At 40.5% G+C, this 26210-nt stretch overlaps 1 protein-coding gene and 1 long non-coding RNA gene across 8 annotated transcripts in view, besides 5 other annotated features; one reads left to right on the forward strand and one right to left on the reverse strand.

Annotated features, from left to right (window-relative positions):
- Positions 1-2563, forward strand: part of LINC01504 (long intergenic non-protein coding RNA 1504) — a 37775-nt gene extending 35212 nt beyond the window's left edge. The window contains exon 5 of the long non-coding RNA NR_110952.1: positions 945-2563. This is a non-coding gene — a long non-coding RNA (long intergenic non-protein coding RNA 1504). The remainder of the gene's footprint in view (positions 1-944) is intronic.
- Positions 2564-10765: 8202 nt separating this feature from the next.
- ZFAND5 (zinc finger AN1-type containing 5) lies at positions 10766-24561 on the reverse strand. 7 transcript variants are annotated; one of them, NM_001102420.3, is made up of 7 exons: positions 24049-24561; positions 22823-22959; positions 19981-20140; positions 19463-19574; positions 18771-18874; positions 16284-16409; positions 10766-15454 (listed from the first exon to the last, which is right to left on the reverse strand). In NM_001102420.3, the coding sequence occupies exons 3-7, from the start codon at positions 20129-20131 to the stop codon at positions 15306-15308; spliced, it is 642 nt and encodes a 213-aa protein (NP_001095890.1). In that variant the 5' UTR covers positions 20132-20140; positions 22823-22959; positions 24049-24561; the 3' UTR covers positions 10766-15305.
- Positions 23564-24267: an enhancer, noted in NCBI's record as "H3K27ac hESC enhancer chr9:74979127-74979830 (GRCh37/hg19 assembly coordinates)". NCBI's record gives its function as "activates a minimal SCP1, AML or CMV promoter by ChIP-STARR-seq in primed H9 embryonic stem cells {active_cell/tissue: H9 hESC(primed)}" and the evidence as "EXISTENCE:reporter gene assay evidence [ECO:0000049][PMID:30033119]".
- Positions 23564-24972: a biological region, named in NCBI's record as "hESC enhancers GRCh37_chr9:74979127-74979830 and GRCh37_chr9:74979831-74980535".
- Positions 23580-24409: a silencer, noted in NCBI's record as "silent region_19947". NCBI's record gives its function as "represses an Ori minimal core promoter by ATAC-STARR-seq in GM12878 lymphoblastoid cells {active_cell/tissue: GM12878}" and the evidence as "EXISTENCE:reporter gene assay evidence [ECO:0000049][PMID:35858748]".
- Positions 24268-24972: an enhancer, noted in NCBI's record as "NANOG-H3K27ac-H3K4me1 hESC enhancer chr9:74979831-74980535 (GRCh37/hg19 assembly coordinates)". NCBI's record gives its function as "activates a minimal SCP1, AML or CMV promoter by ChIP-STARR-seq in primed H9 embryonic stem cells {active_cell/tissue: H9 hESC(primed)}" and the evidence as "EXISTENCE:reporter gene assay evidence [ECO:0000049][PMID:30033119]".
- Positions 24420-24799: a silencer, noted in NCBI's record as "silent region_19948". NCBI's record gives its function as "represses an Ori minimal core promoter by ATAC-STARR-seq in GM12878 lymphoblastoid cells {active_cell/tissue: GM12878}" and the evidence as "EXISTENCE:reporter gene assay evidence [ECO:0000049][PMID:35858748]".

A 26210-nucleotide genomic window follows, 5' to 3' on the forward strand; every position in this document is an offset into this window, starting at 1 on the left:
TTTTATTTTATTTTATTTTTTTATTTTATAGAGAGGGGGTCTTGCTCTTTTGCCCAGGCCGGTCTTAAACTCCTGGGCTCAAGTGATGCTCCCACTTCTCTCCTCCAAAGTGCCGGGATTACAGGTGTGAGCCACCATGCCTGGCCAACATCTTGATTTCAAACTTCTAGCCTCAAGAACTGTAAGAGAATAAATTTCAGTTGTTTTAAGGAACCCATCCTGTGGCAATTTGTTACAGTAGTCCTAGGAAATTTGTGCTCCACTTACAAAGAATCTGGTCTTTAAGTGAGAGAGATGCCATCTTTAGGGTCTTACTTTGTGCAAGGCACTGTTAGACATTGGTGATTCAAAGAAAGTGCAAGGAGCTTATAAACTACTGAAAGTGAAAGACATGTAATTAGATATATTTGAATTCAACTGTGGAAAAGCATTTTCGTCTTTTAGAATCCCCAACCCCAAAAAAGAATATAAAAGATTGTGTTATACGTTACTACTTCTTATTCTTCCTCTAATAGTCAAACTACTCACTTCAATTCAATACTTATCTATTGCCTAACTATAATCTTTTGAGACATTAAGTATATTACTGATATCATACAAACTATGATACAGGAAATATCCTATTTGTTTATGCTCAGTCTTAAGGGAAAGTTATTGATGTGTTTATTAACACTTTTATGATTTAGAATGTTGCCACAAGCTAAAAAGTGTGGAACAGTTGATAATTTTTGGAAATCAATTCATATCCAGAAAACAAGGGCAAATCAAAAACAATTATTCATGATGCAGGTTGGTTTTTGAGGTCAAACAAAACAGTTGTTTTGTGTTTGAGATGGGATGTCCAGCTTAGAATATCTCTGCCTTAGTCTGTTCAGGCTGTCTCAACAAAACACCATAAGCTGGGTTGCTCATTCACAACAAAAATTTATTTCTCACTGTTCTAGGGGCTGGGAAGTTCAAGATCCAGGCCTCAGAAGATTTGGGGTTTGGTGAGGGCCATCTTCTCACTGTAGCCTTACATGGTGGAAGAGGTAAGGCAGCTCTCTGGAACCTCTTTTATAAGGGCACTAATCCCTTTCATGAGAACTCAGCCCTTATGAACTCATCGCCTCCTAAATTCTCTACCTCCTAACACCATCACTTTGACAATCAGATTTCAACATATGAATTTGTGGGAGTCACCAGCATTGAGACTATAGCAACCCCTTATTAGAAATAATTCATGAGGAACTGAAACTGTTAGGAAACCACTGTGTAAATGCTGGGAAACAAAGTCAGATAAATAATGCTGATAATTACCTGACTGCTTTTGGAACTGTCCTTTTTTGTGAACATGAGACTACATCATTGTCAGTTGATTGCAGAAGAACCACTATGATATTATAATGGGGTCCTGACTCCATGACTGTGTAATTCATGGCTTTCTAACGGTTTATTATTGACCTAACTTTGCAGCTCCCCTAGATCCCCTAACTCCACCATCTTGGGTTGCAACCAATGACCTGTTATTGCAAAACAGGTAATCTCACTTAGATAAGTATTAATCAGAGGGGCTTGACTTCCAGAGTTCATTTCAATGGTTTTCAACTCATTTGTAGAGTTTAACATCAGTAGCCCTTTCTCTTCCATAGGAGGGAGATGAACCATCCTGTTTGTTCAATAATCAGTGAGAGCGTGGCTTTAACGTCTCTTCCACTCCTTTCTAGTTCAGGTCTTTCTTAACTTGATGGAGATAGCTTGGGCCAGGGAGGGCAGAGTGAAGATGAGATGGCAAAAAAAAAAAAGTTTTGATCAGCAGCATTGACTCTGTGCTAAATACTGTGCTCAGCTCTTTGGATGTTATTTCATTGAAATGGAAAGAACACTGTAAAGTTGTCTTGTGAGGCACACTTTCCTGTTGAGGAAATAAAAGCATTAAATAACTTGCCCCCAAATACAAAGCTATTAGGATTGAAACAAAGACTTGAGCCCGGGATCTATCTAATTTCAAGGTCCTTGTTTTTTTTCTACTACATTTCTCTTTGAGATACAGTTACTCAAAGGTGTCCAAACTTCAGTTAATGTCAACCTCTGCCTCACTCTGGTCCTGGTGCCTTTCCCATGTTCCTGAGAAGATCATGTGGCACACTTCTCTAAACGTCTCTGTGCCATATCTCTTGGGATCAAAAGGCCATTCCAATAATTCTTCTGCATTTCTTAATGTATGCTCAGATGGCCCTGGTTTGCATTTAGAGAAAGGAAGCTAAGACCTTGGTGATAACTAAATATTTATATCTATTTTTTGATTATGTGCTTGTATTTAATTAAGTGGGTGCCTACTGTTGTGAAAATACTTTTGAATACAATTCTGAAGTTGTGCCAGGGAACTCTGACAATGGGTATGCTGGGAGCTGTCTGATTTCCTTGTCCTAGACAACTCATACAATGCAGTAGAAAAAGAATTCTTTATTCCCACTGCCTTTCCTTAGCCCTTCTTCAGAGCAGGGGAAGTGTGACTGTAGCTTTAAATAGTTTAAATAGTCCTTCAAATACGGCAAATAAAACAGTATCAATGAAAAAGAAGATAAAATGAGTGGATTACTCATATGAGTTTCAGTTTTATCATTCAGTTTCACAGAACTCCAAAGAATAATGTGATTAAGTGGTTTCTTTTTGCAAGGATTTTCCAGGTGAAAGATCTGAGCTATATATTGAGGAACCATAGGATTAAAATAGACATGGGTTTGCTTCTATGACAGCATTTTGCAAAATAACATGACCAGGTACTATTGCTCATGCCTGTCACCCCAGCACCGTGGTCAAGGCAAGTAGATCACTTGAGGCCAGGAATTCAAGACCAGCCTGGCTAACATGGCAAAACCTCATCTCTATTAAAAATACAAAACTTAGCCAGATCTGGTGGCACATGCCTGTAATCCCAGCTACTCAGGAGGCTGAGGCATGAGAATCACTTGAGCCTGGCAGGCAGAGGTTGCAGTGAGCCGAGATTGTGCCACTGTGCTCCAGCCTGGGTGATAGAGTGAGACCCTGTCTCAAAACAAACAAACAAAGCAAACAAAAACACACACACAAAAAAACCCACCTCTGATGTGACCCATGGATAGAAAACAACAAATTAAGTTTTAATGAGACTATATATGCTTGTACTTTAAAATGGGGCTAATTCATAGATATAGAAAACTATACTTATGACAGTTCATATAAATGAGCCACTGGACTGTCCAAATTTACCTCTTTTTATTGTATGGACCTAGTGAGTGCAGTGGTGCGATCTTGGCTCACTGCAACCTCCGCCTCCCATGTTCAAGTGATTCTCCTGCCTCAGCCTCCCGAATAGCTGGGATAACAGGCACCAGCCACCGCATCCGGCTAATTTTTGTATTTTTAGTAGAGATGGGGTTTCGCCATGTTGGCCAGGCTTGTCTCAAACTCCTGACCTCAAATGATCTGCCTGCCTCGGCCTCCCAAAGTGCTGGGATTACAGGCATGAGCCACCATGCCCAGCTAGGAGAAGTATATCCTTTTTTTGTTGTTTGTTTTGTTTTTTTGAGACAGAGTTTCCCTTTTGTTGCCCAGACTGGAGTGCAATGGCGCAATCTCGGCTCACCGCAACCTCCGCCTCCTATGTTCAAGCGATTCTCCTGCCTCAGCCTCCCGAGTAGCTAGAATTACAGGCATACGCCACCACCTCTGGCTAATTTTGTATTTTTTAGTAGAGACGGGGTTTCTCCATGTTGGTCAGCCTAGTCTCAAACTCCCCATCTCAGGTGATCCGCCTGCCTCAGCCTCCCAAAGTGCTGGGATTTACAGACATGAGCCACCATGCGCGGCCTAGGAGAAGTATATTCTAATTAACAGAGTCACTTAGGAAGAGCTGTAAAAAATAAAGATTCTCCCACACATTCTGATTCAATGGGAATGAATCGAGATCCAAATATGTGTATGTGTGTGTGTGTGTTTTTTGTTGTTGTTGTTGTTTTGAGACGGAGTCTCGCTCTGTCGCCCAGGCTGGAGTGCAGTGGCGCCATCTCGGCTGACTGCAAGCTCCGCCTCCCGGGTTCACACCATTCTCCTGCCTCAGCCTCCCGAGTAGCTGGGACTACAGGCACCGCCACCACGCCCGGCTAATTTTTTTTGCATTTTTAGTAAAGACGGAGTTTCGCCGTGTTAGCCAGGATGGTCTCGATCTCCTGACCTTGCAATCCGCCCGCCTCGCCTTCCCAAAGTGCTGGGATTACAGGCATGAGCCACCGCGCCCGGCCGTTTGTTTGTTTTTAACTCTCCAGTTGATTTCGGAGAATGCTAAAAGATTTAGGCTACCTTTCTAAGCATGATTTAGGAAAATCTCATCCATTTTCAATATTTGGATCCAATGGATTAGGAGGTATTATAAACATTAGAAGAGTTTCAAAGACTGATTCTAAGGCATCCCTCCAGCAATAGCAAACTAGGGTACAGGTTCAGGGAGAAAGTATACAGCAGAAGAGGGAACACTTAGTAATAAACAAGTGCTGATGTCCTGAACAGACTCAGACTAAATTTGAACTTCTCTATTATTTTAGCCTTGGAAATAGTAGGTTATAGATGATTTAGTTTCTCTCCATTACACAGAACAGTACCTTGACGAATCAGCCAGGACTATAAGAAAATATTTGGACTTACATGATTGAGACAATTACTATGTAAGATGACACACTTGAAACTCATATTTCTTGGCTTGCGAACACATGCATCATGTAAAGCATGATGTCTTAAGACCCTGATCTGAGTTTGAGAGGAGTGGGAGAGAAATATCAGGAAAAAGCAAACTAAATGTCAAGGCAAGGTTATTTTTAAAAGGACCAACCAGAGGACTACATTTGTGACCCACCAATTCATTTTCTCCATCAGTTCATGGACCATTGTTGTTGCCTCTAATAAGAGGCATGTGTTTTCTCCATCAGTTCATGGAACCATTGTTGTTGACTCTAAAAAGAAGAGAAAAGGTATTTCATTCTTTTTCTTATATTGTCTTAGAGAAGCAAGGCAGATTTGGTATTCTTGGCTTGTGTAACATGTATTTCTCTCTTACAGTGCTCAAGTATCTTCACAGGAAGGCCATTTAGATGGTGGGTCTTTGAGTCATGGATCTCTCTTTAAAAATTCTACCAAGAAACACAGACACCAAATTTTGCATGCAATTTCAGGGACTTATGGACCCCAGCTTGACTTGTCAGCCTCACAGGAAAACTAGTGGTGGGATTTCATTTCCATTCTACCAAATGAATTTCAGTTGATTAAAAAATGACCAATTGTTACACTCCATAGATCAGAATCTAGCCTTTTATACATCTGTGAATATAATCTTTTGCAGAGATTATTAGCCCTGTTGAAACTAATTTTTTTTTTTTTTTTTTAGATGGAGTCTCTGTCACCCAGGCTGGAATGCAGTGGCTTAATCTTGGCTCACTGCAAGCTCCACCTCCCGGGTTCACACCATTCTCCTGCCTCAGCCTCCTGAGTAGCTAGGACTACAGGCGCCAGCCACCACGCCCAGCTAATTTTTTTTTTTTTTTTGTACTTTTAGTAGAGACGGGGTTTTACCGTGTTAGCCAGGATGGTCTCGATCTCCTGAACTCGTGATTCGCCCACCATGGCCTCCCAAAGTGCTAGGACTACAGGCGTGAGCCACCATACCCGGCCCTGAAACCAATTTTAAAACACTGAATCTCTATCAAGCCCTCACAATGTGCTTACCACGACTAAATGTATTTATATACATCATTTTAATTCTTAAAGTCTGCATAGATGAATGCACTAAAATACTCAAGAGTAAGTAACTTTTCTAGAGTCACACAGTTTTTGAGTCACAAACTTCAAAGCCAGTATCTAACCACCATCTACTCCTTTGCTTTCCCACCCTAGAAGGAAAACTTTACTCTCCACCTACTATGGTTACAAATTTTGTAAGATGTGTTTTCCCTGGTAGAAGAGGCTTCAAGTAACAATCTACACCTAATAATATCCAACATTAATTTTGAAATTCTGACCATTGATCTTCATGAAGTTCAAAAGGAATTTACTTTTTCAGTTCTAAAATTAACACGACCAATTTAGTAATTCAGAAGATTATTTTTGTCCATTGTACTAGCTTATGATCTCCTTGAAAGCTGAAACTATGAATGCCTCACTTATCCTGCTCACATGTGGCACGCCTAGGCCTTAGGAAGATGCCCAGTGTCAAATACAGGAATGTGTTTGCTCCTCTCAGTTCTCAATGGCTTCCCAGAAGATACCATAGCTTCCCACAGATGTAAACCAGGAGAATCCTCTTGTAACAGCTTTAACAGGCCTGTTTCATTTTATTTCTACTGAGTAGCATACATCTAGCTCATTTTAAAATCCAGCTCTTGATCTTTAGTTTTAAAAATATGTACCACTGGCTGGGCATGGTGGCTCACGCCTGTAATTCCAGCACTTTGGGAGGCAGAGGCAGGTGGATCACCAGAGGTTGGGAATTCGAAACCAGCCTAACCAACATGGAGAAACCCCATGTCTACTAAAAATACAAAATTAGCCAGATGTGGTGGCGCATGCCTGTAGTCCCAGCTATTCAGGAGGCTGAGGCAGGAGAATCGCTTGAACTCGGGAGGCGGAGGTTGCGGTGAGCTGAGATTGTGCCATTGCACTCCAACCTGGGCAACAAGAGTGAAACTCTGTCTCAAAAAAAAAAAAAAAAAAAAAAAAAAAAAAAAAAATTGTGTAACACTGGCCAGGCGCGGTGGCTCACGCCTGTAATCCCAGAGGCAGGTGGATCACATGAGGTCAGGAGTTCGAGACCAGCCTGGTCAACATGGGGAAACCAGGTCTCTACTAAAAATACAAAAATTAGTGGGGCATCATGGTGCATGCCTGTAATCCCAGCTACTTGGGAGGCTGAGGCAGGAGAATCGCTTGAACCCTGGAGGTGGAGGTTGCAGTGAGCCAAGATCATGCCATTGCATTCCAGCCTGGGCAACAGAGTGAGATTCCTCTCAAAAAAAAAAAAAAAAAAAGAAAGAAAGAAAGAAAGAGAAAAAAAAAGTGTACTGCTGAAAAACTAACTTTAAAGTTTGAAATGCTATTATTCAGTACCAGGTATTATGTTCAAACCAATGTGGGGGCTTCCGTATAAGGGGCTACACATCATTGGGCAGATTTGATTAGCTGTGACAATTGTTTAGAGTCCTTAAAGAAGGCTTTAAGCACAGTCTAGGAGTGTACTATGTGATACGGTTTGGATATTTGTCGCCACCCAAATCTTATGTTGAATTATAATCCCCAGTGCTAGAGGTGGGCCTGGTGGGAGGTGAATTGATCATGGGGGCGATTTCTTATGGCTTAACACCACATACTCTTGCTGTTGTCATTGTGATAATGAGTTCTTGTGAGATCTGGTCATTTATAAGTGTGTGGCACCTCAACCTTCTCTCTCTTCCTCCTGCTCCCTCTTTGCCTTCCACCATGAGTAAAAGCTCCCTGAGGCCTCCCCAGAAGCAGATGCTGCCATGCTTCCTGTAGTCTGTGGAACTGTGAGCCAATTAAACCTCTTTTCTTTATAAATTACTCAATCTCAGGTATTTCTTTACAGCAACACAAGAATGGCATAATACACTACGTAATAATAGCCACATATGAGTAGTGAGCACTTGAAATGTGGCTAGTCTTAATTGAGATATGCTCTAAGAAATTGAAGATAGTACATATAGCACATTTTAAAATGTGGCTATTAGAAATTTTTAAATTACATGTTGGCCTACATTAAATTCTATTGGAAGCCGGGCGCAGTGGCTCACGCCTGTAATCCCAGCACTTTGGGAGGCCTAGGCAGGCGGATCACTTGAGGTCAGGAGTTTGAGACCAGCCTGGCCAACATGGAGAAACCTCGTCTCTACTATAAATACAAAATTTGCCAGGTGTGGTGGCACATGCTTGTAATTCCAGCTACTTGGGAGGCTGAAGCAGGAGAATTGCTTGAACCCGGGAGGCGGAGGTTGCGGTGAGCCGAGATCATGCCATTGCACTACAGCCTGGGCAACAAAGGTGAAACTTCGACTCAAAAAAAAAATATATATATATATATATATAGGAAGGCACTGGTAGGGAATTTAAAGCACGGCTGTTGGCCCAAGAACCATTGGTAGACAGCATTCTAAAGAATTAATTAAGGCCAGGTGTGGTGGCTCACCTCTGCAATCCCAGCACTTTGGGAGGCCAAGGCGGACGGATCTCCAGAGGTCCGGAGTTTGAGACCAGCCTGGCCAACATAGTGAAACCTCGTCTCTACTAAAAATAGAAAAATTAGCTGGGCACGGTGGTCCATGCCTGTAATCCCAGCTACTCAGGAGGCTGAGTAGGCAGGAGAATCACTTGAACCCAGGAGGTGGAGGTTGCAGTGACCTGAGATCGTGCCACTACACTCCAGCCTGGATGGCAGAGTGAGACTCTGTCTCTAAATAAATAAATAAAAATGAAGTAATTAAGCATTTTCTATTTTTGGTAAATTATTGATTTTATAGAATATTTAATGATTTTCAATACTTTAGGTTCTCAGTTTATCAGTTTGTAGATTAAATAAGTAATTTTCTTAGATTCCCTTCTGATTCCTAAAATTTAATAGGGATCTTTGAAAAATAACCTCCCCAGTCCAGAAAAATTGTCAAAAACTCCTCTAGTTTGGACAAAATGTAGAGTTTGAGATGTCTTAGTCAGTATTTAGTCAGATATGAGAGCAATCATGATGTTTCTGGCCTAGAGAGTGGGAAGACTTTCCGACCACTCTGCATATGTTCATAGGGAGACTGTATTTTGTGGTTGTTTTATAAAACAAACCACATATATACTTGGATCGCTTCAAAGCCAAATAGAAATGACTATGTATTATCAACTCCTTAGAGAATTTAAAATAGCAATTATTAAAAAGCACAAATAAAATAAACTGCTGGATTGGAGTGCTATTCCTTTCACATGCTTTCAGTGTTTCCTAGGAGCAAATTCACATCATTTCTAGGTTTTGTTAAACACATTTTAATTTTATTAAACCTAAACCAGATCTTGTTTATTAGGTTGTTCTTGGCAGGTGTTATATAAAATGAAGTAAATTGTATTTAAGAACCACAGAGTAAAAAATAAAATCATGACCTTAAAATGGAAAATTTTGGGTTTATACTATTCTTTTAAATCCATCAACCTGAAAAGTTTCACCAAAATAGGAGAATTAGTCACCATGGAAGATAGATCCCTGTAAGGAGATCAAATAAAGGTAAACCTATTCTGTTAATCTTCTCTCCTTTTACTTCACACCTTCACACCCTGAATCTTCACTAATGTAATCCTCTTAGTATTTTTTACTAGTTTTTCTTTTTTTCACTTAGTATTTTTTACCAGTGTAATCTTCTTCTTTGTATTGAGTCACATAATGGTTACATCTGTTTTTCCCTGAATGGACACCAGTTATAAGTGGGATGCTTGCTGTTACCATGGGTCCCAACTTATCAAGTAAAAACTGCTATCCTTTAATCCACTTTAAAAGCCTATCTTTCATTCAAAGACTCAAATAAAAGTGCCTATCACTCGAATGCTAAAGGACCATGCCTGAATATGAATGCATCACATTTTGATGGCTATAGATTGCACCCACTTCTAATAGGTATCATCACTTTATTTATCAGACTTCTGAAGTCTCATGTTATTTTTGTCATCTGATATAATCTAGCCACTGATAAAACTGGTTATGCTACCCCAGATATGCAAAGCAATCTAATTTTCATGCCAACCAAATAAGCCACAGTATAACTAAAAACAACTTGTTTACGCATAGACAATTTTTGCAGGCATTTTAAAATATAACACAGATGCTAAAGGCTAATGGCTCGGATGGCAGATTATTCTTATTTAAATATTACAATTTTTGACTGTAGAGTTACTTTTACAATATTAGTGTAAAACTTAACATTAGAAGCCAAATAATTTTAGTATGTGGATATTATTTATAAGACCTACTATGGGATAAATCTAGGGTAGGGGTTCCTCAGGAAACATGACCCTACTAAGGAAGAACTTTTCTCATTAGGGTGGACATGAAACCACAACACCAAGATGTGTAAGAGTTTTCTTTAGAGAAATGCTTGAGGTTCTATAATAGTAGACAAATACCACACAACAGAAAATCTAAATCGTATTTGTCAACTGGTATTGTAGTTGCATGTATGAATACATTTTTAGTGATGGGAAGGGACAAGAGGGCAGAAGCATATTACATAGCAAGGACCAGCCAACATTTTTAATTTATCCTGGATTATATTCACAAGATCAGTCTGAAAAATTTACCCAGACACAAGTATTTAAGATGAGGTCATTAGGCTAATTTATTTGTATTTTTTTTCCTGGCTGATGCCTGAGCTCTACAAGGTAAGTGCTTAATGTTATTTTGTTAATAGTTCTTGCACTTATCTAAAATTTAAGAATGTGTAACAAGGATTTCCTGTTAACTTCTGAGTTGACTGAAAAATTACCCCAATTCCTGAGCAGCTTTGGTTACATTATCAATATATACAGGCTGAGGTCCTGTGGTGTCAATAAAAATCATCATAAAAAATGTATTCAACACAGATTAGCCAACTAGAAAATAATCTGTAACTTCTTTCATCTTGCTCTTAACTACTTAAGTATCCTTAGCAACATCCCTACCCATAATAAAAGGAAAGTGGCACTTAGCAGTTGCAGACAAAATGGAGTCTTACATTTATGGCACAAAACAAAACAAAAAAAGTCTTACATTTATTAACTTTACTTCTATGGCTGTAACAGAAATACTCTGGAAGAAAACACAGAAACAGTCTTTGCTTTTATATAAATTTAAAACCAGCACTTGTGCATAGAAATAGCTATAAAATATTAAATGGCACTTTTGTATTCTGTTGTACTTTTTTTTTTTTTTTTACATTTGCTACACGGTATTTATTCAATGACTGTATATTTAGTCACCACCTCAACCACTGCTAAGCTCTCTTCATGTCTATCTGTACCAGTTTCCCATCTTAGACTGTGATGTCAACTGGCAAGGGCTGGCTGTTGGCCGATTCACCATGACTGACATGGTGCATGTTCACTTGTTTTTAAAGCAGATTGTACAAACAGGAGAAACAAACAGGGGAAACTGTATTTCCAGTTTCTTTTTGTTAACAGCCTGTTGCCTCACCCATGCAAACTCTTCTAGCTAGTTTAAGGCTACATAATCTTATTGCTAATCAACCAGCAACCATACCTATCACTCTCCAAAATTATAAGTTAATACTTATGGACAAAAACCACTATTGAGAACTTTGCATTCAAACAGACAAGAGTCGGCCAGGCGCAGTGGCTCACACCTGTAATCCCAGCATTTTGGGAGGCCGGGGTGGGCGGATCATGAGGTCAGGAGATCGAGACCACCCTGGCTAACACGGTGAAACCCTCTCTCTACTAAAAATACAAAAAAACCCAAAAAACAAAAAACATTAGCCAGGTGTGGTGACGGGTGCCTGTAGTCCCAACTACTCCGGAGGCTGAGCCAGGAGAATGGCGTGAACCCGGGAGGCGGAACTTGCAGTGAGCTGAGACCATGCCATTTTACTCCAGCCTGGGCGACGGAGCCTCTGTCTCAAACAAACAAAACAAAACAAAAACAGACAAGAGTCAAATCAAGTCTTTGTACATATTCAAATATTTACATGTGGAAAAGATTAAATAACCTTTCTAAATTATGAGTTACCTAAAATGTATGTGTGCCTTTGAAATGGAGGATATGGGACAGCTTGAGAGGCTTTGCTTCTCAGTGTGTATTGATAAATCCATGTGAATGTTATTACCAACCCCCAAAATACAATAATAGTATGCTTAACATCTTGCTATTATTAGATTATTTCCCCAATTTTAGTTATTTCCTAGCAACTTTATTTAATGCAGATCTCTTGCAAAGAAAGCCTTACGGAAAAGAATGATTCTAATGACTTTAAACTGCAAGTTTAAATAACAAATCTTTATCTTTTCACTATACAACTTGATGTAACCAATCCTGTTCTCAAAGTTTTCTTCCCAAGTTATGGAAACCATTATTCCAGAACATTAAGACAATAGCAAATACAATGTGCCAGGCACAGTTTTAAGTGTTGTCACCTTCACACTCCTGAAGGTGGTTGCTGTCTTCATTTAAGAGATGAAGCAGTCCAAAGTGGACCTAAAATAACTTGCCCAAAATCACGGGCTGGTTCCAGGGTCCCTCATCTTAATCACTATGCCATAATGCTCAGAAACAGCTTTCCCTCACAAACTAATTTTCCCCACGTTGTGGGAAGCCTACCTAGGATCAAACCTGAGGCTCTAGTTTTACAGATCAGGCACACTGAAGATGAGGTTTTCAAAAAGGACTCACCCATTTATACTGCGAATTCATGTGGTCACAGCCTAACAAAACTTCAGGTCATGGGGGTGTAAATATTTGTCTGCTTATGTAAGGGAAACATGGTATATTATTAAATTGCTTAATATCTGTACATTTCAAAGGACTTCATGGCCTTGCATTCAGGTTTGAATGCAAGAATTTGGGTAGAACTGAGTCCTCTCAGGTGCCTTACACACTGATTCCCTTTCTCCCCAGTCAATGGACAACCCTGACAAATCTTTGTTCTGATCTGGTTTAATGTTTCTTGTAAAACAAACAAACAAAAAAAAAACAAAAAAAACTGATTGGCCGGGTGCGGTGCCTCACGCCTGTAATCCCAGCACTTTGGGAGGCCGAGGCGGGCAGCTCACCTGAGGTCAGGAGTTCAAGACCAGCCTGACCAACATGGAGAAACTGTCTCTATTAAAAATACAAAAATTAGCTGGGCGTGGTGGCTGGTGCCTGTGATCCCAGCTACTTAGGAGGCAGAGGCAGGAGAATCACTTGAACCCAGGAGGCAGAGGTTGCAGTGAGCCAAGATTACGCCATTGCACTGCAGCCTGGCCAAACAAAAATCTATCTCTTGCTACTACTCAGACCTTCAGAGTGATGGAGTCCGAGGGCTCATCTTACCTTCTCTATACCACTCTTACTTCCATTTTTAACTTGAAAAATTAAGTTGCCCTTCTAAATCTTCAACTTCTAAATTTTCAACTCAATTGTGACTTTTCATATTCAGAGAAATACTACCCTATGTCAGTATAGGAACTTTGACATACATATGTACCTCCCTAACTTGAAGCAAAAGTAGCAGCATGCAAAGAACTGACAGATAAAACTAGGGTATTTCCACCCCAAACTCCATCACAGAGAAGCAACAGTTGCACTCTGGTAATCATTTACCCCAGGTAAAGTCAACATGTACCTGTCACCCCTTGTTCTTTATGATCTGGCATAAACGCTACAGAGACCAAGTCCATGGGTGAATCTCTGTATTAGAGCCAAACCCAAAACAGAAATAAAACAGAACTCTTTTTGTAAACTAAGTCATACCTACTTTCTTCTTCAGAATTGTCATAAAACATCATCTTTTACAACATGGAGAAGCGAGGTAGGCCATAATTGTTCAAATTTCATCTTTCTCAAATTTTAAAATTGTTTTAATCCCAAAGGTGCCTATTGAATTCTTCAAAAATAAACTGCCTATCAGGTATCATACCTGCAAATGCTTCTAATATCTCTTGATTATCACTTGAACAAGTTCAGCGATGGCAAAGGAAAAAAAATTATATAGCCATGTAAAGTAACATTTTCTAATTTTCCCCCTTTAGGACTCCAACTATGGCTTAAAAACCCAATGAACAAGTGAAGTTTCCCTCTGTACATGGCTTTTATTATTTACATAATACAATATAGCATCAATGCTGAATAGCATGATTATGTGCAATACATAAATATGAACTATCTGTACACATCTGCAGGTCTAACTCAGAACTAAGGTACATAAAATTGAAAGCAAAACTGAATGCTTTAAGAATAAAAGTAAAAACTAGGACTGAACATTGCAATAAATCAGAAGTAGTGCCTCGTGTACATACTTAACTATTTACAGATGAAAACAGGCATTACCACAACACTAACTATACTCATTTATATATAAAAAACACAAGTTTCATACATCACAAAAAACCTTCCATTATAACACAGAAGTGATTATTACCAGACAAGCATCAGTGAAGTATACTGCCTTTTCTAGTTGTTATTGTACAATGCTGTAGATAATGCAGCCCATGCAATACACCCAAGAACACTAGAGTCCTACACCCAAGTACAATATGATAAAGCAGCCCTCTGCAAGTGGTGCTGGATACCACTAAGAAGTCTACTGCAGCCATGTTGGTTATGATTTTCCATGCAGAAGGGTACAGTTACATTAAGAACTGAAGTCTTTTAAAAAGCTTTAAACATTCTTTCTTGAACCAAAACATTCGACAAAAGATGCACATGAAAAATTATTCAGATACCTTTGCAACTTAAAATTCAGATGCATGTTATTCAATAGAGCTGCTGTATGTGAAAACCAAACGTAGAGTTTAAATTTCTTCTTGTAAACAAATTAATCCTAGTGCAGTTCTGTGCTACACATTTTTAGCAATGAGTAATGCAGACATCTTCTGGTGCAGGCCAGTACAATAAGCTTCAAAGGTTATCTCAAGACCCTGTTGTTGGCTTGATGGTTTTACTTATAACCAGTTTCGATGTTTACCTTTCACAGAATGTCTTATTTGACAGCTTTAGATGACCAATTTAACCAGGCTTATATATGGCGCCAAATACTGGTTTCACGGGAAAGAAGGTCTGATCCTCTTTATGAGCATTTCTTCCTGCTTCCAAAGAATATGTTGTGAAATTAAAGAGGGTGAAGTTTAACTATGGTAGAAGTAGACTGCCAGTCCTTTTCTGGTGTACCATTTTAAAAAAATACAGGCACATAACACTAGCCAAAGATTATACCTTGATTACATTCCCAAAAGGCAGATATGCTGCAAACATGCAGAGATTTCATTTATTTTGTTTGGCACATGGGAACTACATTTTGTTCCTATTATCTGTGTGTTTCACTTTGCTGTGCAGATTTTCATCCAATTTTTTTCAGGGGAGGGCATATACATTTGTAGGGCTGTATCTATCCAATTCTGCCTGTAACAAACACCCAAACATCCTAAAATATCAATTATAAGACAGACAAGTGTAATGTAAAACTCTGGAGAACATCAAAGAAAAATGGCCATGCATCTGCTCTTTAATGTTTTCCTACGATATATTAAAATAAAAACAAAGTTTCAGTCTCTTCACAAGAAGTAATTTATATTCTCTGAATTTTTTCAGCCACAACAACTGGATTCTCTTTTCTGATTTTTGCTGCAGCTTCTGCTTTGTAATCATACGGACAGTTGTGCTTGTCAGAGTAACGGTGAAGTCCACAAAACAAATTTCCACATCGGCAGTCAAACCCTGTACAAACGAAGAAGTAGAGTCATTTGAGAACTTGAGGCAATTAAAAGAAAAAAAAGCCTTAGTCACTATAGAAAAGGAACCAGATTTTCATTGCTTTGTAACATAAAAGACAGTGAACTCTTTTCTTCCACTTCCTGGTGATAAGACACAGTCAACTCTTACAGAGTCTATCACGTTAACCTGGAAAAGGAACTTTTAACTTCCTTTGACATGGTGAGAAATTCAAATAACTATGTTCAGTCTTTCCTTGCAAGGGCAATAGCGAAGTGTTTGGTAAGCCAAACCACGTGGAGAAAACAAAATGGGCTATCTGCCAGCTAATTTCTCCCAGATGCTCTCCCTCTATCGACTCCTGTAGATGCAACGCAGGATAAAATTTACACAGGCTCTGGAGTTAGGCTAAGCTGGATTCAAAACACAGTCCTACCATATCTTAAGTAATGCTTCCTCAAGTGAAAACAACCATCAAGGTCTGAGATTTGAAGGAGACAAGAAAAAAAGCACCAAGAACATTCCCTGCATAGCTCAAAGTAGGTGGCGCTTACTGTTAGTTCAGTAACATTTTCCCTAGGTATACAAAAACTTTTTATCAATCTAATAAAATAAGAGGGCCTGAGTTAATAGTTTTATATGATTAGGAGACAAATGGAAGTAAAACCCAACTTCTTTCCACCCCAATACCACCTCCTCCACCTTTCCTAGACTACAGCTAGTCAGGCTTTTTTTTTTTTTTTATGTGTAAGACCAACTAGTCTCTTAGGGAGTGACCAAAAGCTCCTTGTTAACTGCAGAAGTAAAACATACATTGTCTTGTGTTTTGTAATACCTGTAAGACCAACTTTCTTTCTGCACATGAAACATCTGTTTTTCTTTGGTTTGGGCAATTCAGGAGCTTTTTCTTCACTCTGAGAAGTACTGGGCTGAGAAACTGATGGACTGGGCTGAGTGACAACTGAAAAGGACAAAAACACAAATTTGTCAAGCATTCACTGGCTAACATTTTTAAGTCAAAAAAGGAAGTATTTAAGAGAAACAGGAAGATGCCTGATAAAAATGTTTATAAGTATTCCTTGAAAATACAAGCTTTAAACAGAATCTTCCATTTTAACATCAGAACTTGATTCAAATCTGAGAAATTCCTGCCAATCACCATACTACTTGCTTCTCTAATTTTGTAAAATGATCGCTTCACTCAAGAAATTCCTTTAAAACACTGGTAACAGCCAGTACTAAAAACAAAATCCTAATTCTGTTTTAAAGAGCTGGGAGATGTTAATCATATGCTCAGTTTTTCCACGTTATAATTTCCTAAATGCAAACTTTTCAATCAGGGCAGTTCAAATTCATTACATCACAGTAAATAACAGTAGCCAACTTTGATTTTATGCTTATAGGAAAAAAAATCCTGTAGATATAAAAACAGCAAATTTTGACAAATAAAACTCAAACCATTCATCCCTAAATCAACGTCAGATCCAAAAATTCCAAAACAATCATTTTACCATTTTCACAGGTGCACTAAACATCATAGGAAGACTTGAAAGATTTTTTTAAACCTTGGTTTTAAAAACAGATCGGCAAACAGTCTTTAGAAACTACTCGAGAAGTATTGATTTTAAACTATTAAGGATTCCACAGGCAGAACAAGAATCTTATCTAAAATGGGCATCCACTATCGACAGAGATAGCATCTACAAACAGTCCCACCGTTTCTCCACCTAAAAAGGCTTTAAGTTTCAGTGTACACATGGCATCAATAAAATTTCTCACAATGAACAAAAAATACATTACTGTACTAAAGCCCACACTGCCACTAGTTCTTTAACACAAAAATAACAAAATTTATATCTACTTACATATAATTCAACTACACCTGAAACACTATAAACTCAGGTTTTAATATTAATCCAAATGTAACAATAGCAAATTTATGTATGCAATGCTGAAATTACTGCCCAAATATGCCAGCACCAATGCTATTAGCATATAGACAAGCTCCTACAACAAGCTGATTGATTTAATGGCAATTTTCTCTAAAACTCTGCCCAAATTTATAATTCAATTGCATTAGCAATGAATCTACTGGGAGAAATAGCCTAATATTAGACTAAACGAACAATATTCTACCTACTGCTACTGTGACAACATTAATGTTTATCCTGATGTCATGAGGATAAAGAATAATCTAGGGGAATAGTTGTATGGGGTAGAGGGAGGGTGTCAGCCATTTCTTTGGCCACATCTGAAAAATGAACTACGGCTCCTGAGACAAGGGAAGAAGGGGGAATAAGAAAATGACACAGAAAAGGCAAATAGCAGTGAATCACAGAATGCCTACTAAGTAATAATAAATGCAGACTAGCTCTAACCCAAGACTATTCTTCCAAGGTCAGAGTAATTTTGTATTTAAAAACCAAAACCAAAAACAAAAACCCAAACAAAGGCATCACGGGCAAACTAATGTGGTCAGTTTAAGGATGGAGCTCATTTCAAAATGCCAAATATAGATTCACCTGCCAAACTTGAGAATTTGGCCTTAACTTTGTAAGATTAATACAATAAACAAACTTGACTGCTGTTAGCAAAAGCCAGCCTCCAAAGCAGACTGTATAACCACTGACAGTATTTTTTCACAACAGAAGTTTTATATTGCATTTAATCAGCACTCTGCCAAAAAAGAACAAATTGATAAAATAAGCTACGTGCACTATATAAAGCACAGAAATCTTTTTGTTCTAGGGCCTAGTACAGGTAATTCAAGTCAGTCTTCTTCCACCATCAGGGCACTTCTGGTTGTGCTATATAAGCAAAGTTTCCAAAGTCACCATATCTCATGAAAACCAAAATGCCTTTCCACACTGAGTTTCAAACTCCCACAAAATATGATAGGAATATTGTACTTCAAATAAGTTCTAGTGTTCAAATATGTTGTTCTACTTAAAAGTTTTCCACAACATTGACAATATCAAAACTAAAGTTACTGCTTTTGGTTATAAAATTATTCCTTATACCCTTGAAATTTAACTTCATCAAGTTTTTAACACATCCAATCTCCAGATTACAGACTTTGCCCATTATGCACAAGGGTAGTGCAGGGGATGAGCAGAGAAGAAACTGAGAATAAATATGACTATTTTACACTTCAAGATACTCATACTCAAGATACTTTTAAAGATAGTAGTTCTTTGCTTGGCCTATATTTTATGGCTCTCCCTCCTCTTTGGTCCTTCAATGGGAAGGAAAGAATCCCCCCACCAGCCATTTCTTGCACTATCAAATTCAGAACTGAACAAGTATTAAATGAAAAACATACCTGGCTCTGACACCTCTGTTTTCGGGGTAGTTATTTTGTCCTCTCTTGAAATGCTCATTTCTGTCATTTGCTGAGTTACAGGCAAGGCAGCCACAGGCACATTTCTATTTGAGTTCAAGCAAACAATTTTTAAAGGTGTTAAGGGTACTTCTTGAGACAATGAATAAGTTGTCAGTTCAACTTTAAATTATAGAATATTTCCAAAATGAGCAAATGGAGCTAGATAATCTAAAGTTTAAAAAAAAATTGGATGCCCAGCACAAATGGTTGAGAAAAAAGTTTGATAAATGGCTCATGAACTCGAGGCTGCATTTTGTATAGGTTACCATATTTTACAACCAGCTAGGGATTTTTAGCTGTGCCTGTAACTTGTTTAAGGGCAAAAGGGCAGCTCTGCCAAAACACCTTGTCTGGCCCAATAATATTCTACAGTCTCACTCGACAATCCCTAAACCTCAATTACAAAGAAATAAAAAAGCACAGCATTTCCAACACAGTATCCTTGAGGGGGTTAGGGAGTCAGGTGTAAGTAACACACATCTTTACTCAATGACTTAAGAGTCATGTATTAAAAGACACTGAAATCCTCGATTGCAAAGCCAAGGGTATCTATTAACTTATTATTGGACCAGTACAGACATCTTGATTTCTTCTTTGTAATATCATAAAAACTCTGAAACGTTCAATCTTACCTTGATTTTTCAGATGTGCTGCCAGCAGCACCTTCACAGTTGTTTAAGCTAGTGTCTGCTCTCTGTACAGATGCAGAATCTGAGGTAGGACTGTTGGAACCACTAGCTGTTCCTATTTAAAAAAAGGATTTGTAAGGAACCAATGAACACTACAAAAACTCACTTAGTATCAAGACGTAGTAATAAATACTTGCATTTAATTAGGTTAGTGATATAAGCATTCACTGTGCTGTAATCCTATACTTGAGTATCCAAACAAAAAATATTAAAAAGTCAATCCAATGAACACAAGTGTGAAACAAAATAACCCCAAAAAAGAAAACTGAAAAGCTATAAGATGCTTGTAGATAGTCATTCATTCCTGATCAGTCATGTCAAGCACTTGGGCTGTTGCTTGAATTTCAAGCTCTTATCAGGTGTTCTCTCCATGTGCTTTCAGCATTCTCAGCCCCAATTCTTGGTTCTGTATTTCTGTCCACCAGTTCTTTCAAATGTGTTTTTCCTTGGAAATAACTTACCCATTGGGCTCATTCTGCCACTATTTTGCTGCCTCTGAAGATGTTCTTTGTAGCAAACTGAACACATTCCATTTGTCCTAGGATTTCCATAAAAGCCACATCCTGTGCTACACAGCATGGGCCCCGGGGTCTGGTTAGTCTCCTGAGCCATATTTTTCTGCTATAGATGAAACGAAATTTCAGAAATTAGTGTTATCACCAAAATATAGTCTAATATAATCATCGGTATACCGTTGTAATTGCTACGCAAGTTTTAACAAAAGCCCAAATTCCGTTAATCATTAAAAAGGGTGGGCAGAGATAATTATCAATATTTTGTTGCCTTTATAAAAGCAAACTGTTTTAGGACCAAAAAAAAACCCAAAAAGAAATTTTATCAATTATTAGGGTATTTTTACCTATCACTATTCTTGGTTTCAATTTATGAAAAGGTCTGTTAGCTCTCAGGGTTATGTTTTAATCAATTTGGGAAACTGGTATCTTTAACTTTTCACTCTGCTGCACTACAGGCAGACCATTTCAAATGTTTTTACTTAATTGGCTAATCACAATTATCACTGAGTCTTGATATTTATAGGTAGTTCTTTAAACTGGATGAATAAAGTTTTCTTAAAACACCTGTACATATCTGGGCTTCATCAGTAATTTGACAAATCTGCTGAGGCAGAGCATCTGTACTTTTTAATGCTGAAACATCTTCATATAAGGCTGAAAAGAGAACTGGTAGCCCTTCCTGCTACCCTGGCACCAACAAGTAAATCTCTAAGAATTTAGGGTCAGCTGGTTTACGAAACTCCTTTTACGTTCTCCATTTGAAGTTTCAGAGTATGTCAAAGCCAGTGCCTAGGAACCTGCAATACACAAATTATGAACCAGATTTCTCAGCCAAAGGCACTATTAATTTTAACAAGTGCTTGTCTTCCTCATACCAGAAAATAATAAAACCGTTCCAAGCTCAAATTCAATGTATTAAAGTCAATATATACACATAACCTTTAGTAATGGTTAATATTCAATGCTGGGTTACCAGAAAAAGCTTTACATAGCAAGCATTTGTTTCCAAGGAAGATTTGCTTTTCTAAAAGTCTTGTTAAAACGCTGTGCTAAATTATTAATAAGTTTTCCTCTGGATGAGAAAATACATATTAAAGAAAAATTATTTTAAAATAAAGTTGTGGAGGGTTTTCATGTCATCTTAAACATGTATAAGCATATGTACAAAAAGCATATTTGAGAGCATTTGCTTAAAGGAAAATTCGTGTGCTGTAACTTGTGGTCAGTCATTTTTTCCAACTACATACTAGAATACACTTTTTAGTGAGTTATTAAAAAACGATGTTTTAACAAGTATTAACTACCAAAATTAGAAGATGGGAGAAGGGGACTAACCAATTTTGACCTGGCCAGACCCCTGGTAATTATTCCCCAAAACATTTTATCTTCCCTTTTGTAAGTAAAAGTGCACCATACAAATATTAAGACAATCTAGCTTGTGTGGAGTGACCAAGATCCACAACTTACTTTTAACAACAGTATTAATTTAGTTGACACTGTCTCTTTAAATATTAACTGGAATTTAGCTGACTCATTTTGGAGCAGGGTAGTGTAAACATTTCAACATCACTTAGGAAGTTTATTAATAAACACTTTCAGCTGGGTTTTTAAATGAGCATAATAGGAGCAAAAAATGCTTTCAAATGATAAATATGTATGTATTTGCATGCCCACCACGCACAAAATATGTGTGAATGTTTGCCCTATGCATGAAAGTTGGGTCACTCCTTAAAACCAGTTTAAGTATGCTAGCTTACATTTTCTACACTGAGGCCCAGTCTCATGTGACATTGGCTTTAAAGTTTAAGGCCAAGCGATCAACCTACCTAAGTAATTTTAGTTAATCTGATTCTTAAAATATTTGTTTTAGATAAAATGGAGGATACTCCATCTAAAGATTTCACACACTCAGAGATAACAAAGTATTCCAACTTTGCTTCAGAGAACATGTCTACCTTCATTTCATTATAAATAACTTTCAACTGCGAGACACACAAGAGGTACCAGGACATGAGTCTTCTACATGGGTTCCCATCTTTTAGATTTTTTTCCCCTAGAAAGCCAGCTTTTAAATGCCATCACATGTGCACAGCTTGCTTTAATATTTCTCAGAAGCTCAGATCACATGGGAGGGCGCTTCAGCCTGTCACAAGGCTGCAATGTGACAAGCTGAGCTGGATGGAGGCTCTCACATAAAGCCTAGTCAACAGGGGCCTCTGAAATCAGCTTCTATTTATATCTCAAAGCCTGCCAACTCCTACACAACCCCAAGAACTAAGGATGCAGCGTTCATATATCTAACATAAGAAAACAAAAAAAGGGCTGCTAGTTTTTTCCTAATGTAGGAAAAACTACAGAACAATCTCAATCTAGAAGATGAAAGCATAGTCAAAGCTAAAATGGTCAAGGTTGTTGATAAAAAACTAAGCACAGTGGAGACAGTGTAAAAAAGAATCCTCATTTAGTGAGGATTTAGGGGATGAAGTGGGGGATGTGTGTTCCCATTAGGTATTGCATTCCCCTTGTATTTTAGAAAAAAATACCATTACTATTTATTGCCTTTAAAGTAATTAGCAACTTGAGCATGCACGTGTCAGCTCTATCAGGTATAGCTAGAATGCAGATTTTATAAAGTTTATGGCTTCCTCTAACTTACAGCTTAAAAAAACACCCGAGTGTAACTGAACAATTCTCCAATTCCAATTCTGAACAAAGAGCTTTTACACCTATGGAATACAGTTCTTTCAGGTGCACATGATGTGATGAGATGGCATGAATTCCCACTCACCTGGGAATGGAGACCTGAGTTCAAGTCTCTAGTCTGCCACTAAGTCAGTGACCTTGGGCAAGTCCTTACTTTCCAGATTTCAGTTCCCTCTTTGCCAAATGGAGTAGAATTGACTTTTAAAGGCTCCTTTTCAGGGCCTGGGAGATAGAAAACAGGAGACAACTACAAAGAATCCTTAATTTTTTAGGGGGGTGTGGGGAAACATTTTAACAAAAAACTTCAAAGATAAAATTGCAGTATTTTCACCAACTGAGTTCTGAAAGCCTACTCTTTAAAAAAAATCCTAAAAATAAGGAATAAAATACATTCGTTTATGTTTTTAGAAGTCTGTATCTAAATCCCAGGTTTAAGAACGGGGATGTGTGACCTATATGTTCCTTTATCTTGGTATCTCCTTAGATGCTATCCCTTAGGAGACACTCAATCAATAAAGATAATCCGACCCTTCCCCGAAAACACACCTCCACGGAGTGCGTGGAAAGCGAGCAAAAAATTTCACATTCATCAGCCTAAATGCACCAAACAAAGGAGGTGTTCCATTTCCTCCATGAAAACGGATCTCAGGATAAAAACGCAGCGACGTCGAGAAGCCCAAAAGACGACGCCGAGAACCCCCGGCCCCATGTTCCAATGGATTTTGGAACAAGTTCGGGTCCCACTGATACCCCATCCCCCTCTAAGCAAAGGCCTCACTCAATAAAGCCCAACAGGGCCCTCTCCGAAAACCACTGAGTCATGCAGAACAGCAGCTCAGCAGGCCCGGCCAGCCCTTCGCCTGCAGGCCCCACGCGGATCCCCGACCCCCGACCCCCGACCCCGAACGGCTCCTCTTAGGGGAGAGCTAGGGGGGGCTGCAACGGGCAGGGGGCGCGGCCGCCGCCTCGGCCTCTTTGTTTCTCTGGGTCGTGGTGCCCACGCCGGGCGCCGCCGCGGAGGCGAGCGGCCTAGAGGCCGGCCCCGCAGAGGCGGCACGCCGTGCATTGTTTCCCGACCGTGCTGTGGAGCGAGCCAGGGACGCCGGGAGCCAGGTCTCGGGCCACGACGACAGGATGACGCCTCCGTCTTTGTGCTTCCTGGGCTGGCGGGCGGGCTCCCCTCCCCCGGACGCCGCCATCCGCGGCCTGCTCCGGCTTCGCCATTGGCCCGCGGCGCCCCGGTCCCTTCACTCCCGCCCCCGGCCCGGCAACAAGGAGCCCGGCTCCCACCCGCAGCCCCGTATCACTCACCCTGCAGGGTCCCAAATGCGAAAGCCGGGTTCGCGCGCGAAGCCGGCACGATGAGGCCGGGCCGAGGCCTCCGGGAAGGCTGAGCCGGGCGCCCTGGTGCCGCCGCCGCGGGCCGGGAGCGGGTCGGAGCAGCAGGCGGAGGTGGCGCCGCCGCCGCCGCGGGGTCTTCCTTTGTTCCTGCAGCAGCGTCGAGCGTGGCCGGGACACGCCGGAGCTCGGGAAGTGGGAGGAGGGAAGCGAGGGGGGGCCGAGGAGGAGGTGGAGGGAGGACCGGCGGCCGCAGCGGCTAACGCTGCTCGAGGCGCTCGCCTGTCGTCGCCTCACGCCTCCACAGGCCGCAGGTTGGGCGGACGAGGAGGGCGAGCGGACCGCGCGCCGCGAGGCCTGGGGCCGTAAGGGCCCGCTGATGGCGCTCTTCGCCGCTCCTGCCACCGCCGGGGAAGCTGCGCGGCTCCCGGGAGCGAGCGAGCCCGCGTAGGAGATGCACACAGCTCCGCGTCCCGGCCGACTAACGCACTCGCCGCCCGGCGCCCGGGCTGTGAGGGAAAAGAGGGGGAGGGGGCGGGACCCGTGCGTCAGCGAAAACCCCGGCGGCGGCGGCGGCGGCGGGGAGCGCGGTGACGTCGCGGGCCCAAGGCCACGCCCCCGGTGCCCTGTCAGTAGGTCCAGGAGGCGGGGCCGAGACGGGTTGCTGTGCCTTCTCGCGGAGCCCAGCCACTGGCCTGGCAGTCGGCCCCTAGGGTGGAGCTGGGAAGAGCGAGTCCTGTGGAGGATGCGTTTCTATTTTTAACCCAATTGTCCGCCCTCAGCCTCCCTCCTTCGGATTTTCTCATTCAAACCCGTTTTTCGCCATCCTAGTTCTCACGCTTTGTCTCCAGCCCTGGGCAGACATTCCCTCCCCCAAGAATCGTAAGGATTCACCCCCAGAAAAGGAAAAGAATTGCCTTATGGCTTCGAGGTCTTTTCTGTTTATGAAACCTCCTCACTCCCCACACCCATTTTGAGCTCCGAAGTCCAGCCCGAGCGTGGCCCTGACGCAGCTGGCGGCGTGCGTTCGCTCGCCCAAGGTCACGGGTGGTTGTGCGGAGTGAGGAAACGCGCGGCCGCCCAGGGCTGCCAATGCCCCGGCGGCGCTGTTCTGAACAAACTGTTTTGGCCAGCCTGTGAAATCCCTGGAAATTGACGATTCCAGCAAAGCGTCGTGAACTGGGAAAGCACCAAATGTTCTACTCAAAAGCCGCGAAGGGACAAAACAAGCTAGACCCGAGGCCCAGATGAAGCGGGAGGAGGAGGCTTGCGAGAGGAAGTTCAAGGGGGGAGGTACTAGGCGGGCAGTTCAGGCACGAGGCACAGGTCCCCCATGGGTGAAAGGATGACTTTACCCGGAACACTGGGAACCTTTTCAGAGCACAAACAAAAAACATTTTCAACTGACCGCTCCAAGTGAATTTCAGTTCAACTCAAAATAACAAAATTACTAAGTCGGAAAGGACTTCTGAAATTTTCTAGTAAACAACGGTCTAACGAATACATAGAAATGATGTTTAGGGTTTATATTAGCCACATATAGAATGGAGAAGAGGTCCCTTCAGTGTTTCTCAAAGTTGGTAATCAGAAAAAAAATCACCTGGGGTGATTAAAGATTCCTACGCATCTCCCCTGGATATGGTTTTGGTTGTTCCGGGGTGGGAGCGGGGGTGGGGGGGGGCCCATATTGCGCTTCAGGTGGTCCTTATTTATAATCTGTATTTGGGGGAATGCTATACTGATAGCTTGAGCCACCACTGCCAAATCAAACAGTTCTCCGCCACAGTTAGCAAAGTACCTGGAGCATAACAACCTTTTGTTTTGTTTTTTAACAAATTCGGGTTTATTACTGTGATCAATTAATGTATTAGAGATTTAAGTAGTTTGGGTCACTGGTCCCACGACCACTGCAATTTATTTCCTTAAATTAGCAGATGAATTAGTAAAAAAAAAAAAAAAATAGCAGCTACCATTTACAGGCCATTTTCAGTGCCAACTATTTTCCATTTAGGGTCTCATTTTATCCTCACAGCAATTCACTGAGATAGGTACTATTATCATGTCCCTTTCTACAGATAAAGAAACAATGACTAAAAAGGCTTGCCCAGGGCACTGAAGGGCAGGGAGGCAATGGA

Source organism: Homo sapiens, chromosome 9 (assembly GCF_000001405.40).
Source record: "Homo sapiens chromosome 9, GRCh38.p14 Primary Assembly".
Taxonomy (NCBI): domain Eukaryota; kingdom Metazoa; phylum Chordata; class Mammalia; order Primates; family Hominidae; genus Homo; species Homo sapiens.